Source organism: Homo sapiens, chromosome 11 (assembly GCF_000001405.40).
Source record: "Homo sapiens chromosome 11, GRCh38.p14 Primary Assembly".
In the NCBI taxonomy this organism is placed as follows: domain Eukaryota; kingdom Metazoa; phylum Chordata; class Mammalia; order Primates; family Hominidae; genus Homo; species Homo sapiens.
Window position 1 is genome coordinate 93,143,846 of NC_000011.10, and position 16,298 is coordinate 93,160,143.

The window sequence follows — 16,298 nt, forward strand, 5'->3', positions numbered from 1 at the left end:
AGCATTAATTTTGTAATGCAAACAAAATGATTGATATATATTCTTGACCTTACAAAAGCAGTAAATCATGAATGCAGCATCTGCAGATGGCTCATCCTGCATTCATGCTGCAGGAAGTTCAGGTCACAGTTTTGAGTGTGTCCTTTCATTTTTAATCAACTTCTGCTCTTAAAACTTAGAAGTATACAATATCAACTTCCAGCATAACAGAATTAACCACAAAGACTGCTTAAAATGTTATTATGAGAATATTATACTAGTGCCATTTTTAGCTTATGACACTTATCAATGTCATTTAACCTTAGAAAAATGTTATCTAAAAGGCAACTGCAAGCAAAATATTTTATTGAAAATTCAGAAAAGTTACAACACTTTAAGACAGCGTTTTTCATATTCTGTTATAAAGAAAAATGTTAAAAGAATTGACTTGAATGTTATATTTAGGTTTCATTCAAACTAACAAAATCATTTTGAAAAACAAAAATCCACCCACAGCTGAATTTATTCAGGGTGTAAACATATATTTTCCTATTTGTTATCAAGAAAACGCTAATGAAATATTTTTAGTGTTCTTTTCAAAACAGCATCTTTCTGGACCCAATTTAAATAGTAATTTAGTATTAGTATCTAGTTCACATAGATTACTGATTTGTGTGTGTGTCTGCATATACTTGTGCACGCATGCATGTAGGAACTAGCTAATTTTAATATGAAATTTTAAGAATCAAGAGTGATTTGCTATTTCACTTATCATAGGGCAATAAATAGCATTTCTAGCCATTTCTTAGGCATGTTTCCTTATCTCATAGGTCAAAACCAATCAGTTTCAGAAAGTTTAGCCTAGTAAGTGCCAATGGCATAAACAAGACTAACCATAATGCTGCCAAAGTATTAACTATTACAGCCAGGAATTTAATGTTAGGAAGTACAACTACACTTTTCAGATCCAAGTTTCTCAAATTTTCTTATTAAGGGAAGCTAGGTGAGCCAAAAAGATCAGACTCATTTTTTAAAAAGTCATTATTGTATATTATCGATGTTCTGTATGTTAACCAAATTATTTTATTCCTCAACAGATGGTATTGAGCCACTGATGCTATTTAAATAATTTTATTTATTATTTACACTAGCTCTATTTCAAATCTTCTCCTTTTAAATGAAGAAAGAAGTGAGGTCAAGACCTAGTTTGTGTATACTGTCAGTAAACAGATCCACTACTCAGATGCTGTACTGAAATCTATGAGAAGACATAAGTAAGCTATAGTAAGACTTGTGCCTTGCCACAGCTAGAAATGGCACTAATACTTTAATATTTCAAGTAATATTTTATAGTATTTTGCAGTTAAAGAGATTTTACATAACTACTATGAAACTACTAAGATTAGACACTGTTAGGAAATTCAAAACATGCACATTGACATACAACGCTTGTAAATATGTAAGTGCATTTTCCAGGCAAGATGCAGAAATCATTTTAATAACGGAGAATTTAGTGAGAATACGACTAAATATAATGTGGCATTTGCTAATACAGACTTGTTTTCATTTGGTAACATCATCTAAACTGGTTTTTAACCAAGAATACGCTGTAGCTCTTATTTTCTTAATTGTAAAGAAATCTGGCCATGTGGGGAAAAGAAGTCCCTCTGAAAAAAACGTCTGAGAACCAGTGTTTTGACAAGTTGACTCTGATACTGATGAAACTCTTGGGTGTAAGGGAACAGTGATTAACTGACTTGGAACGGAGCTCATTAGAGGTAAATAAAGCTTTCCTTTCTTTCCCCTCAGTAGCAGAAAAGTCTCTCAGGCAACTGATTAACTTTCAGGGAATAGTTCTTCACTGTGGTGGCCAACAAAATGCTGAAGTCATTTTAGTCACAGTGTGATGATCCAAAAGTGATGAGATACAAAATTTGACAGGTGCAATCACTCTCATTTCTCCAGGCTCCCAAAATAAAAGCAAGAGCTGGTATAATCGAAATATCGTCTCCAAAATCTTTAGGAAATTTTACGACTTATTAAAGCTAAATTTTCAGAGAAAAAATTACCCACTGGTTATTTTTGCAAATAAAATGCATCATCAAATACCCTTAATAAGAATACATTTAAGCTTTCCATCTAAATAGTGTTTCTTGTTGAGAATTAAAACTTTCTTCCTTTTTAGCCCCTCTTCTTTTCTGCAATTCAACTTTTTCTTGTATTTAAAGTATTCATCATTTATTGAATTTAGTACTGGATGTTGATTCACCATTCTTATTGCTAAAGGAAGCCTGATTGATAATATACTCAAGATGAGTTTGTGCTGAATTTAAAAATTATTTATTGCTATGATCAATTTTATTCAAATTTCATTGCATTTGATGAATTCCTTAAGGAAAATAAACAATGGGCCAAAGTGTAAAAATTAAATAACATACATAGACTAGAAATATTATCTGAAAACAGGTGACAAAAATCTAATGCTGCTTCCTATTAAATAATAATTTTCAACTCATTTTATATCAAGCTATAAAGTTTTTTAAACATCTAATTCAAGATTATATAATACTAGTTTCAGTGAAGATTCGTTTTCCTATAACTTCTTCTGCATTCTCTTAGTATGACTAAAGGCTCAGTGTAACAGAATTGATATAAAAGTATCTCAAACAATTACTGTTGATACCTAATGTGAATGGTTAAAAAAGTTTTGATTCTTATGACTTTGTACCAAAATAAAGCTTCTGATATATCTTTAGGATTGTATTTGATGATCAGTTAACGATACAAGCAAAAAATACTTGAACTAAGTTAACATTTACATATAAAAATAGAGAATATATACAACTATAGTGATCTTGATGATATCTTCAAGTATGGTATACTAACAAACTAGAGTATCACCAGCCTGAGTAAACAGTTCATGTTTTAAAGTCTAAATTGTTTTTAAAGTCAGAAGACAATTCTATTCTTAATAATTTTCATTTTCCCCACTAACTGAGAGATTCTTTATCTTGGTTAATAACTTGAAAAATATGGAATAATTAGAAGTTATTTGTCTGAAAGAAGCCTGGAGTGTCTCAATATTTAGAAGGGAGTTTATGGATTTTTTCTAAGCATGAATCCCTTTATGTTATGATTCTTGTATATATTTATTGTTGTTTTAGTTTTTAAGAGTTGGGATCTCCCTCTGTAACTCAGGCTGGTGTGCAGTGGCACAGTCATAGCTTACCACAGCCTGAAACTTTTGTGCTCGAGGGATCCTCCTGCTTCAGCCTCCTCAGTAGCTGGGACTACAGGTACACGCCACATCAGGCTAATTTTTTTTTAAATTTTTATGTTTTATAGAGTCGAGGTCTCACTATGCTGCCCAGGCTGGTCTCAAGCTCCTGGCCTCTCAAGTGATCCTCCCAACTTATCCTCCAGAGTAGCTGGGATTATAAGCACAGACCACCACACCTAGCTGATTCTTTTATTCTGCTCATAATAAATAAAAGGCTGTGATAAGAAAAGCCACAGGGCTGGAAAGAGTCCACAAATCCTCCGTTTTCTGAGGTGTCTATTTTCTGCCATTCAGGAATGTGGTGCCTACAAAACTCAGGAAAGGAAGGTAATAATTAAAAAAGCTCAAGCCACAAATAGTATAGCTAGACACACATCTTACTAGCCAGGAGTTTCACCAGCAAGCGGTCTCTATTCTGTTTTAAAAGAACATAGCTTCTTTCTCTTGCTGAGGTTTATATGGCCACAGTGTAGGCTTCTTGGAGTTCCCTGATTTTCTGCTCAGGTCACATATACTATTAAAAATCACACATTCATTTTCAAAGTATTAAAATATAATCAAATAGATTCAACACTAAAATTAAGCTGAACATAATTTATTCTTTTTCTTGGACATGATGTGAGAAATAAAACATCCTGGCCTGGGAGTCAGAAGATTAGGTTTTCTTGATCTCAAGGCTGAGTGGTCTCGACCAAGTTACTTAACCTTTCTAGGCCTCCTTTTCCTCTGACGAAAAACAAGGGAGTTGCACTGGATAAGTTTTAAAGTCCCTTTTCAAATTTCATTGAAACACTAAGTCATGATCTTGAACAGTGCCTCTTGACTATGAAGATCAACTACCATTAGAGTGTAAAATTAATTCTAGTGTTTGCAATTTTCTGATGCTTATATTATGTTAATGGGAGTTTTCTATACTTCCAGGAGCCAATCATTAGAATTTGGCTAATAAAAACATAACTGAGATTTTTTTTTTTTACACTGTACATAAAGTTTACTTTGGCATTCACAGGGATGATCTGGAGAGAGCTTTTTGTTATACATGTTCTTATTTTATTCTCTTATTGTTGAAATCCTATTCTGTTCTCAAGTGAGTGGCAAAAGAGTAGCATAAAAGAGAGATAACTTGGTTAAGGTATTTCTTACTGAGATAAAAGAATAATAGAAGTATTTTTATTCTTTAATTTTTTTACATTTTAATTTTTTCAATTTTCAGAACTTAATTTTTTGAACTATTGCTAACACTTAAAAGCAAGGATTTTTCATAGGTTTACCACTACTGGTAAAGAGTTATGATTACTTCCAAAATATTAATATCGTGCCAAAGAAAACAGAGTTTGTTACCATTTTTATGTATATAGCAATGTATTTTACTAGTTATCTTGATAATTTTCAGAAATGGGACAAAAATAGAAGACTCATGATTCTGCTTTTACTATTTCAAACCAGATGTTAAGCATGTTGAATTCAAATTTAGAAAAGGACTCTGTGGAGTGCCAGCTACAACTTTGGGAGTAGGATAAATAATTTCTTCAACAGTTATATATGTACCTAATAAGAAGCCAACAACTCCAGTGAATGCTATAGAAATATTTTTCAGGACCATCCATATATTATAATGTTCCTTCGAAAATGTAAGAATTTCAACCAAAGGTGGCAGGATTAGGGCCAATGTGCTGCTGCTCACAGCTCCAACGAAGGAAATCACAATGTCTAAACGAGGAATAAGAATTGCTCCGGCACCTAGAAAATGAAAATACATTTATTTTTCTTATTTAAATGTTTGTTACTTACATGAATATTAACAGTAAGTATTTTCAATACTGAAAGTAATTACTAGAAATAATTAATGAAAGTTGAACTACTAAACTATTGCTTGTGAAAAAAATCTGCCATATTTTGTTCTAAGCTAGAGAGAGACAGAAAGACCAAAATAGTGAGTGACATGTCCTAGACTTACACTTGTCAACAGTTTCTTATGTAAACAACTTTTAATTTTTTGCTTTAAAATTCTGGGCAAAGAAGTTTTGATAGTTTATTTCCAGAGCATTTGCATTACTTTGTCTGCCCATACAGCTCAATAACGCACAAGACATAGAGTGGTGGGACATAAATAAATGAGAGAGAAGAGATAGCTATTCCTTAAAGTAGAATTCCAATTAATCAAAATAGAAGGAACAATGGAAACAGAAAAGCATTAAGCAAATACCACAATAATCACAGGATAGGAAGAGTCACTGATGAATGCTGAAATTAGTGGGCAAAAACTGGATGAGATCAGAGTTTCAAAATATCTTCCTTCAAGATACTTATTAATTATAAAAGGAGAACTAGTAGCTTTACAGTGGAGAAATAAGTCAACAGACCACCTTAGCCAAGTAAACAAAATTAACATCACCAATAAGACACTGATACTATGATGTGATACACTGAGAAGTGCACAGCATCACTTCTGTGGGATTCTTGTTAAAAATGCTTAACTTCAACCTAATCATGAGAAAGCATCAGAAAAATTCAAATTGAAAGAAATTCTACACAATTACTGACATTTCGAAAGTGTGAAGGTCAAGAAAGACAAAGAAAGTCAAGGACAGTCAAGATTGGAAGACACAAATGAGTATGACAGCTAAATTCAAGTGGGACCATGGCTTATGTCCTGGACCAGAAAAGGATCTTAGTGGGAAAACTGGCAAGATTATCATAAGGTCTATAAAGTAGTTAATAGCATTGTATCCATGCTAATTTCTTGGTTTTAATAACTGTACTGTGATTATGGAAGCTGTGAACATCAGAGGAAGCTGAGTAGAGGTTTATGGTAACTACTTTCTTTTACACCCTTTCTGTCTAAATTACTTCAAAATGAAAAGTTTAAAAAAAATAGTACTCCACTATTGTCAGCAGATTTCCAAACTGTTGATGAGTTTTCTGCAAGTTCTGGTCTGGCGCTTTCTTGATCTTATCAAAATGCATCAACAGAAGATTTGCAAAAACCAAGACTCATATTCCTTCTTTATTTGTCCTTAACGGTTTTGTTAAATGATTTGTTGAGGGTCTGGAGTTGCCACCAGAAATAACACCTGTGTTTGCTCATATACAGGCTGTGACAAGTACATCACCACTGCCATCGATGACGATTATATCACCACATTTCCTCTTTGGGGACTCCAATTATGGCATGTGTTGGAGACACATATATTCCTGTTAGTAATTTAGTTTTCAGCTTGCAGTACAATGGTTTCTCTACTTCTTAATTTTCAATTTATGACGTTTTATTTTTTCCTTTTTCTATTCTTTCTGTGGCTTTCAATATTTTCCAGGAGGTTGTGGGATCAACTTGGAACTAAGTTCCCACCATGTTCCTCATATAACCAGAAGTTATTATTTATCATTCTGTATTCAAATTATTATGAAAGCTAAAGCCCTAAAAACTGTTTTGAAATTATAAACGTAGCTTTACATCTATAGGGCTGAAGTGGCATAACCCTTTATAAATGAAATAATTGACTCTAAAGAAGTAGAAATAACTAGCTCTAAAGACCTCGAAAGTAGAAATACTTTATAAAGTAGATTATTCGTCTAATAGATGCTTGTTACATATATAGCCTTTTAACTTTGCTCTCTAGGGAGCTATAGAGCATAACTCTCAAACATAGTTAGGACCTCTCAAAATTCATTGAACATAATCATTTGTGGAGACATGTTTGTTTCACCTACTTATAGTAAGTAGTAGTATAAAAGTGAGGCCAGACAAATATGACCAGAATCTTGCCACCTGAAGAGGCTTTCAATTTGGAATCCATTTTTCTTTGTTTATCTATAATCCAAGCTGTCACTAGTAAATCAAGTGAAATATTGTTGGAAAACTATGTGGGGGAATACTATAGCACTTTAGAATTTATAGACAAAATTTCCATCTAGCAAACACTTTTAAATCATGAAGTATAATTCTCATCTAAAATCTGTTTAAAGTCAGATTTTAAACATTATATTACCAAAAGATATTTGCTTGTAAAAATGGTTTGAAATATGCTATTGGTAATGTTATTAGTAGACAAAGAAGACAAGTATACATACTTTTAGCCAAATCCAACATATATTAATAAAAACTCAAAGCAGAGTTTAAAATAAGGATAGTTTTATTCATTACAAATACTATGTCATTTACAGACAGCTATTATGAATAGATCTATTAAGTACTAATCACACTTATTCAGTATTTACCAAAACTATATATAGCAAGAAAAAGAATGTATCCTTAGAGCATAAAGTTCCCTCTGATATTAAAATAAAAGCCTATTTAGGTCCATTATTTGCATCTGAAGGGTAAATGCAGATACATCAGAACACAAAACAAAGCACTTGATATTACAGCACCAAAAACAAAAATGTGGAAAATAACTTAGCACATTCATTTTAATTATACAAATAGTTAATGGTGCTCTCCACATACCGACTCTAAGACAGGATATCAGGAAACAGAATGGTACTTTTCTAGTCTGCAGAGGCAACTAACTTAAATGAAGGATTTTAGTGGGTTTTCTCTACAAACTACTAAAGATTTATAGGTTTTGATACTTATAAAGTCATAGTCTACTATAGATTATAAAAACAAGGACTTTTAAAAAATTACAAACAGTAGAAGGATCAACAAATTAGAGAGTAACAGAAGTAAATAGTACTTAGTATATTTTGTTGATTCAATTCATACACAGAATTGAAACACTGGTCTCAGTGTTTATTATAATACATTTAAAAATGTAATGGCTCATAGTACAGGTTTACTCTTAAAAGGTATTTATGTCCATGGTGACCTTTGGCTGGTTTCTACCGTCCCTCCTCCCTCACTTGTGAGGTGCCTATATACCAGGTAAGCACCTAAAGGGAACACGCAGGAGGAGTCTGAATCATTTCTAAAGTTTTTGAATTTCACTAAGAAGATATTTTGAGATCATGATTCAAATGCTAAATGGATACTTGGACACAACCAACATAATCCAAGCTGATAAGTCCACTTCTTTAAGGACTAATACAACAAACATGGATTCAGTACTTGGAAAGGATTATGGAACATTGAAAGACATTCAATTTTCAATGCAAATCAGGCTGAGCCTCCACTCTCATTGCTAGTGCTGCTGCACAGCCTACTCTACAAACATGACAAAGTCCCATCAACTGTCTACACACATTTATCAGTAAAGTGTACGCCCCCAAATCTTTTCAAGTGCTTTGGAAAACAGAATTAAAAAGCAGTTTTGCCATGAATATCAGTTGGCTTTTACTTTAATTTGGAAGGATATGTGCCAAAGACACAAATGAAGTTCAGGTTCAGTGTCCAGTGATGTGTCCCAATATAGCAGAAGGAAATATTACAGTTTTTGTTCCCTTTCTCCAAGGCATATCCCATATATGGATGAGAAGCTTTAATGACTTTTAACTAAAAGAAAGCAGCAGCCAAGAAAAGGCTGCAGTTCTCTGTGCTATGAACTAAGCCCCTGGCTTCTGGAAACAAACTCATGGAAGCAGATGTGGCGTGGTCTGTGCCTCAGCTGATTCATAACTTCAATACAACAATGCCAGCCAATATACAGAAATGGGTGAAGTTATAAAAAAATCCTAGACCCCTTTTCCCATTGCCCTCAAACTCCTTTACCTGAATTTCCATTACCAACTTTAAAAGACGATATACTTTCAGAATAGAATTGTCTTACATCTATTGATAAAAACACTTTTACTGAAATTAGTCTTTTTATTTAGTCATTACCAAAATGTCAATAAAATAAATGTATAAAAATACTTCAAAATGTCTTAAAATATCTTTTTCCTACTGAATGTTTTTTCATTTGTCATCAGAGTATGGGCTTATTGACTTCATTTGTTAATATGATTTCTCTTATTAGTGATATAATTCATTTAAGTAATTACTTCGAAAAATACATTTTATCTACTTTTTCAGCTTTGCATTTCCCATTTCAAACAAAATATAATACACTCAATTCTTTAAATCTAGGCATGAGCTCCATGGCAGGCTGCTCAAATCAATTTATTGAGTTGCCCCGAATTTCTAGCTCTACTATTCTAAATAGTGCAAGATGTTTATTAATATCTTACACAAGGAATTTCCAAAGCTGCTTGTTCCCCAGAACACTAGTAATCTGGTCCCTGGTATCATTTTAGGCAATCCCAGTTTAGTTTGGTGATGTAATCATCTGTATATTTGTAGTTACAGTAATGGTTACAATAATGATCATAACTTCCAGCTATTAATACTTTGTTAATATTATTTCTAACCCCATCAAAATGCCATAAGGAAGTTTTATCTTCATTTCACAGTTGAGGAAAGAGGGGCTCAACAATGGCATGTAACTTGCCTAAAGACACCACCGAGTAAGTGATAGGCTTGACTTTGAATTCCCAGATCTGTCTGACTCCAAAACTTACACTCTTTCCACTATACTGAACTCAAGCTCCCTTTCCATGAGTCTCTATTATGAATGCTACCTTGAGAAGGCATTTTATGATGAAGAGTCTTAATAAAAGATTATATACACTTCTTCAAATAATAAGAAAATAAGACACTAAAATTATGAAAGACCAATACAAGTAAAATTAAACACTTTCCTGTAGGTAGTTATGAAGAAGTAAACTGTTAAAATATACAAAAACAGGAATGAAAAACCTGAGAAAAACTAGAACCAAAATAAAATGTGTATCAGAAATGGAAGGGGTCCCATGTACACATTATTTTAATCACCAGTAATGTAATTTTCAAAATAACTTCATTAGTTATTTTAAGTGTGATAGGATCTGGTTTGTGTTTTTCTTATGTAGTAGTAGAAAAATTGAATTTTAACCTGAAAAGTAACCCAGCTGGGTGAATAAAATTGTTTTAAAAATATTGAAAAATACATCTTATGTAGCTTTCATTTTAAGAAATTACATCTTATATAGCTTTCAAGAAATTGAACAATAAAAAATTATTATGATATAAATATATAATGATACTTACAAGTAATACTAACCAAGAAGGATCTTATCCCAAATTCACAGATTTGCTTCCATTTAGTATGAAATTTGGATGTGATCCCAGGGATAATGATCTCTGCTGGAACATAGAACTGAATTGAATATGTCACAAAAATGCCAAAGGAATATAGAATTTTCACTGATTGATATAACCTGTTGAAAAAAATTTTCAAAATTTAGTCATTTTTAATGTGAATTTAGTTTTCCTCCTTTATTTTTAATATTAAGATAAATAAGAAATCCAGAATACCAAATTAGGCCAGAACCTTACTAACTAAAAATGCTTGTTTGTAAAAAAGGCAAATTGATCTCTAACTAAATTTCTAGATGATACAAGAACAATTCATTTTCACAAGACTGGAAAGCTTGAACATGCATGCCAGGGTTTAGGGTATAGTGGTAAAAAGATTTCACTTTGGGATAAGCCAATATTCTGAAGGTTAGACTCAGCCCCTCAAAGAGCTAAAGTTTTCTCAACTTTCTTTTTAAAAACTGAGCCTACTATATGTCTTAAATCCTGAGTCATACCCTCGTTGATCTTTACATAGAAGAAAAACTCACATTAAACTTAAGTATAGTTCTTGGGTGAAAATCTTTGGAGGTATGTCATCAGTTGCAGAAATGTCATCCATCTTAAGTCTAAAAGCAGACATCTAAACGGTTTCAACTTGCTAAGTTCTCTAAATTACACATACAATCTATTGTTTAAAATTACATTAAATAAGAGACATACAGTTGCTGGGTAAGGTTGTTGTTATTCTTTTGGGCAAATTAACTTATCTCTTTGATATACAGTGCTTCAAAACAGCACAGCAATTTTCAGTTTTATAAATATCTTTAGATTTCTACATTATGGATAACCTCCTGTCAAAACTTCGCATGCATGTCTTGATAAAGACTTCAGTAACTTTCTTAAGCCCAGAAAAAGAAGACTTTTTAAACGTTAATGACATGAAGAGAAAACAGAATTGTAGGACCTAGAGGAAGAAACATTACAGAATCCACTCTTTAGGGTTGCAGAATAATAAAATTAATATGCTGTATTTAAAAAAACATTTTAATATTTTATAAAATTCAAAAGAAAAACCCAACCATCTTGCATTTTTTAAGTAACAAAGCAGAGAAAACACTGTGGGTTCAGTGTGCTGCAACTTCGGGGCAGTGATTAACACATATGTCCTCTTTCAGCAGAAACATCTTCCCACGGTTTTCTCATTTAAGAGTTCTACTTTCCCACCTAAAATTCCCATGCACAGGGAAGAGTGTTTTCTTTCTTACAAAAAAATGCAATCATTTTAAAAGGATTATATTCTACTTTTGGTATATAATGTCAAGGTATATAAACCTTGACATTAATGAAGCTTTAAGTATAAATGTACTTAATATATAAGTATATAAATGTCGACATTAATGGAGCTTTATTTCTGATGTCTTAAGACTTAAAGTAGTAAGGATTTTTTAATTTGACTTTTAAAGTTCAGGGGTACATGTGCAGGTTATATAGGTAAATTTGTGTCATGGGGGCTTGTTGTACAGATTATTTCATCACTCAGGTATTAAGCCTAGTACCCATTGGTTATTTTTTCTGATCCTCTCCCTCCTCACACCCTTCACCCTCAATAGGCCCCAGTGTGTGTTGTTCCCCTCCATGTGTCCGCGTTTTCATCATTTAGCTCCCACTTATAAGTAAGAATATGTGGTATTTGGTTTTCTGTTCCCATGTTAGTTTGCTAAGGGTAATGACCTCCAGCTCCATCCATGTTCCTACAAAGAACATTATCTCATTCTTTTTTATGGCTGCATAGTATTCCATGATGTATATGTACCACATCTTCTTTATCCAATCTATCACTGACAGGCATTTAGGTTAATTCCGTATCTTTGCTATTGTGAAAAGTGCTGCAATGAACAAAGGTATTTATGTGTTTTTCTAATAGAATGATTTATATTTCTTTGGGTATAAACCCAGTAATGGGACTACTGGATCAAATGACATTTCTGTTTTAAGGTCTTTGAGGCATCGCCACACTGTCTTCCACAATGTCTTGAACTAACTTATACTCCCATCAACAGTTTATAATAAGTGTTGTTCCTTTTTCTCCATAAGCTCACTAGCATGTTATTTTTCGACTTTTTAGTAATAGCCATTCTGACAAGTGTGGGATGGTATCACACTGTGGTTTTGATTTGCATTTCTCTAATGATCAGTAATGTTGAGCATTTTTTTTTCATATGACTGTTGGCGGCATGTATGTCTTCTTTTGAGAAGTGTCTGTTCACGTCCTTTGCCCACTTTTTTTTTTCTTTTTTTTTGGGGTGGAGTCTCACTCTGTTGCCCAGGCTGGAGTGCAGCAGCTCAATCTTAGCTCACTGCAACCTCCACCTCCCCAGTTCAAGCGATTCTCCTGCCTCAACCTCCCAAGTAGCTGGGACTACAGGCGCCTGCCACCACACCTGGCTAATTTTTGTATTTTTAGTAGAGATGGGGTTTCACCATATTGGCCAGGCTGGTCTCAAACTCCTAACCTTGTGATCTGCCCGCCTTGGCCTCCCAAGCCCTTTGCCCACTTTTTAATGAGATTCTTTTCTTATAAATTTCTTGAAGTTCCTTTAAATGCTGGATATTAGACCTTTGTTCAATGCATAGTTTGCAAAAATTTTCTTCCATTCTGTAGGTTGCCTGTTCACTCTGTTGATAGTTTTCTGTGCTGTGCAGAAGCTCTTTAGTTTAATTAGATCCCATTTGTCAATTTTCACTTTTGTTGCAATTGCTTTTGGAGTCTTCATCATAAAATCTTTGCCCATTCCTATGTCCAGAATGGTATTTTCTTCCAGGGTTTTTATAGTCTGGGGTTTCACATTTAAGCCTTTACTCCATCTTGAGTTAATTTTTTGTATATGGTGTAAGGAAGGGGTCCAGTTCAGTCTATCCCATATGGCTGGCTGGTTATCCTAGCACCATTTATTGAATAGCGAATCCTTTCCCCATTGCTTGTTTTTGTCAGGTTTTTCAAAGATCAAATAGTTGCAGGTGTGTGGCCTTACTTCTGGGCTCTCTATTCTGTTCCATTGGTCTATGTGTCTGTTTTTGTTCCAGTACAATGCTGTTTTGGTTACTACAGCCCTCTCGTATAGTTTAGAGTTGGGTAGTGTGATGCCTCCAGCTTTGTTCTTTTTGCTGAGGACTGCCTTGACCCTTCAGGCTCATTTCTGGTTCCACATGAATTTTAAAATAGTTTTTTCTAGTTCTGTGAAGAATGTCAATGGCAGTTTAATAGGAATAGCATTAAAACTATAAATTGCTTTGGGCAGTGTGGCTATTTTTATGATATTGATTCTTCCTATCCATGAGCATGGAATGTTTTTCCATTTGTTTGTGTCATCTCTGATTTCTCTGAGCAGTGTTTTGTAATTCTTGTTGTAGAGATCTTTCACATCCCTGGTTAGCTGTATCCCTAGGTATTTTATTCTTTATGTGGCAATTGTGAATTGTGGCAACACAATACCATTCACAATTGCCACATAAAGATTTGGCTCTCAGCTTGACTGTTATTGGTGTATAGAAATGTTGATGTTTTTTGCACATTGATTTTGCAGCTTGAGACTTTGCTGAAGTTGCTTATCAGCTTAAGAAGCCTTTGGGCTTACTATGGGGTTTTCGAGATATAGGATCATGTCATCTGAAAACAGGGATAGTTTGCAGATCTTGCAGTTCTTCCTATTTGGATGCCCTTTGTTTCTTTCTCTTGCCTGATTGCTCTGGCCAGGACTTCCAATACTATGTTGAACAGAAGTGGTGAGAGTAATAAGGATTATAAACAGCCTGTAAACTATGGCCAAGCAAGAAGAGATTCAATAGTATTCTGCTATAACATATTTATCATACAAGAGTAAGAAGAAATTTAAGAGCTGAATAAAAACAGATTTGAAGATACACATCACAATTAGGAAGGAAAGAACTCCTTAGAGCTAACAACATTTAAAACTTAATTTTAAAAATTAGCTAAGGATGTATTTCTCAGCTTGAGGCTTAAAGGTTACACATAAATGGTCAAGTTACCAAATATATACCACATAACTGAAAGACACGTGTTTCCTATACTCTGATATGTAACTGTGGATAATTAAACAAATATTCTTGTTAGTTAATTAGTTTAACAGGACATTCCTTTTTCTAATTAATTATCTTTTCACTTATGTATTTTTAAAATGTGGTAATAATATATTTAACATTTTTTAAAATAAAAATACATCATTTTGCATGTAAGTACTATTACTTTTTTATTGACAAAGTCACATCGGCTAAGAATCTGGTTATTATTAATATCGTTAATTATATGCAAATATTACTATTTGGTGTTACAAAGAGTAAAAATGGGAAATAAAATGGTGTGGATCTTTTAGAAGTTGGTATATCTACTAATCAACAAAAGAATAGTTATATAGAAACAAGAGGGCATCTTTAAAAAGTGCCACAGTTTAATATGAACTGTTTCACTCCTACTCCTTTTCTGTTTCAAGAACCCACTTATTTCTATGTTTGGAATCTATATTTTCAATCACTTTAAACTATTTTTCTCTACAACTTTTGTATAGCTATTATCACAACCTTTTCTTCATTTTGGTTTTAAGCAGCATCTATTGTAAGGCTTCTTTTGTACTACGTTTTAGAAATGAAGAACATTGAAAGGAAAAATCTACCCAGTAAACCCTCTTTCTAAAGAATAATAAACTTTCTTAAAGTCACAGGAATTTGTTTTGAGGGTACAAAAAACATCAAACAACTTTAAACAACATTTAGTGTACATTAAAAGGTCTTTTAAAACTCCTCGCTGCCAAAGCTCCTGAGAGTTACAGACTAATTCTTCTCTGTATATCCCTTCAATGCACTTAGTATTAATAGGTGATTGATACTTATTAAATATTAATTATCAAAATAGATATGGATAGGTAATTCTTAGAAACTACAACCATTCAACATGAAAAATATTAATAGCACTTCAAAGAATAAAATGATTTATGCTTGGAAACAAAATCTATTATAATGATAGTAAAGAATTTAATACCTTAGTAAAGGACAGAAATGTATTTTTAATAATTATTTTTCAGCCAATATATTGAATCAGATTATAGGGAGAAAACAACTTAATGTTCCAGTGAAAATATTAGTTTTGAAAACATAGAATATCAAAATTTATAATGCTTTTATTCTTTTCCCCACATTGGCTAATAAGTCAACCTTCAGGTATGAATAACTTAAAATTTTTTAAAAACCAACTTGGGAAATAAGTTGGTGACTGCTTCTCTGTCTCTCAAGGTTGAATACAGAAGCTACCGTTAGAAATAACCTGGTAAGGCACTTTCCCTCTTGGATCCTTCATGATGCTCAGGCTGAGAATCTTGAGGATTTAGCTCTGTCAAGAAGTCATCTTAATTGAGAACTATCTGCAATCCTTGCCAAGAGCCTCATCTCATTCTAGGCTAAAAACTAAGACAACTATGGTTATGTAGCATTTATCACTAGATTGAATGCCTTGAACTAGTAAAACCTTTAAAATACATTCTTTACTTCAAAAGCTAAATGCAATACATGTACAGTATTACTCATAACTAATTTTCAAAGATGACAGTTCAGAAAGATTAAGGGTAATAATAACTTGGAGCTTCTCTAATCCATACTTGCTTTATCCTATGGCCTCTTTCTAATTCAATCTTTTCTTGCAGAAATAACCCTAATATACTCTGAGACTTTGCCAATCTGTACCAAAAGCCCTTTACAGCTTTTCATAGCTAGTAGCCATTAGTTCTCTAGGATACTCTTGTAACAGTCATTGGCTTTCATACTCTGCCAATAGAGTACACTGCACAATCTCTAACTTTCGAGGCCTCTTGTGTGAAGCACAGGAAAGAAGTGAAAGAGAGACTCGTATATAGTATATTAAGAAAGAAATCTTAAATGTAATCCCATGATTATTCTAGTCCAAACTTCTCACTTTACAGAATGCCATGACTGTAAAAA

At 33.1% G+C, this 16,298-nt stretch overlaps 1 protein-coding gene across 5 annotated transcripts in view; it reads right to left on the reverse strand.

Annotated features, from left to right (window-relative positions):
• Positions 1 to 328: 328 nt before the first annotated feature.
• Positions 329 to 16,298, reverse strand: part of SLC36A4 (solute carrier family 36 member 4) — a 53,818-nt gene continuing 37,848 nt past the window's right edge. For 4 of the 5 annotated variants that reach the window (NM_152313.4, NM_001286139.2, XM_047426350.1 and 1 more), the window contains 2 exons: positions 10,263 to 10,432; positions 329 to 4,999 (listed from right to left, as the gene is read on the reverse strand). In NM_152313.4, the coding sequence (NP_689526.2) occupies positions 4,692 to 4,999; positions 10,263 to 10,432 (478 nt within the window). In that variant the 3' untranslated portion in view covers positions 329 to 4,691. Of the gene's footprint in view, positions 5,000 to 10,262; positions 10,433 to 16,298 lie in introns of those variants that run through there. The other variant, XM_047426352.1, reaches the window with a different exon arrangement.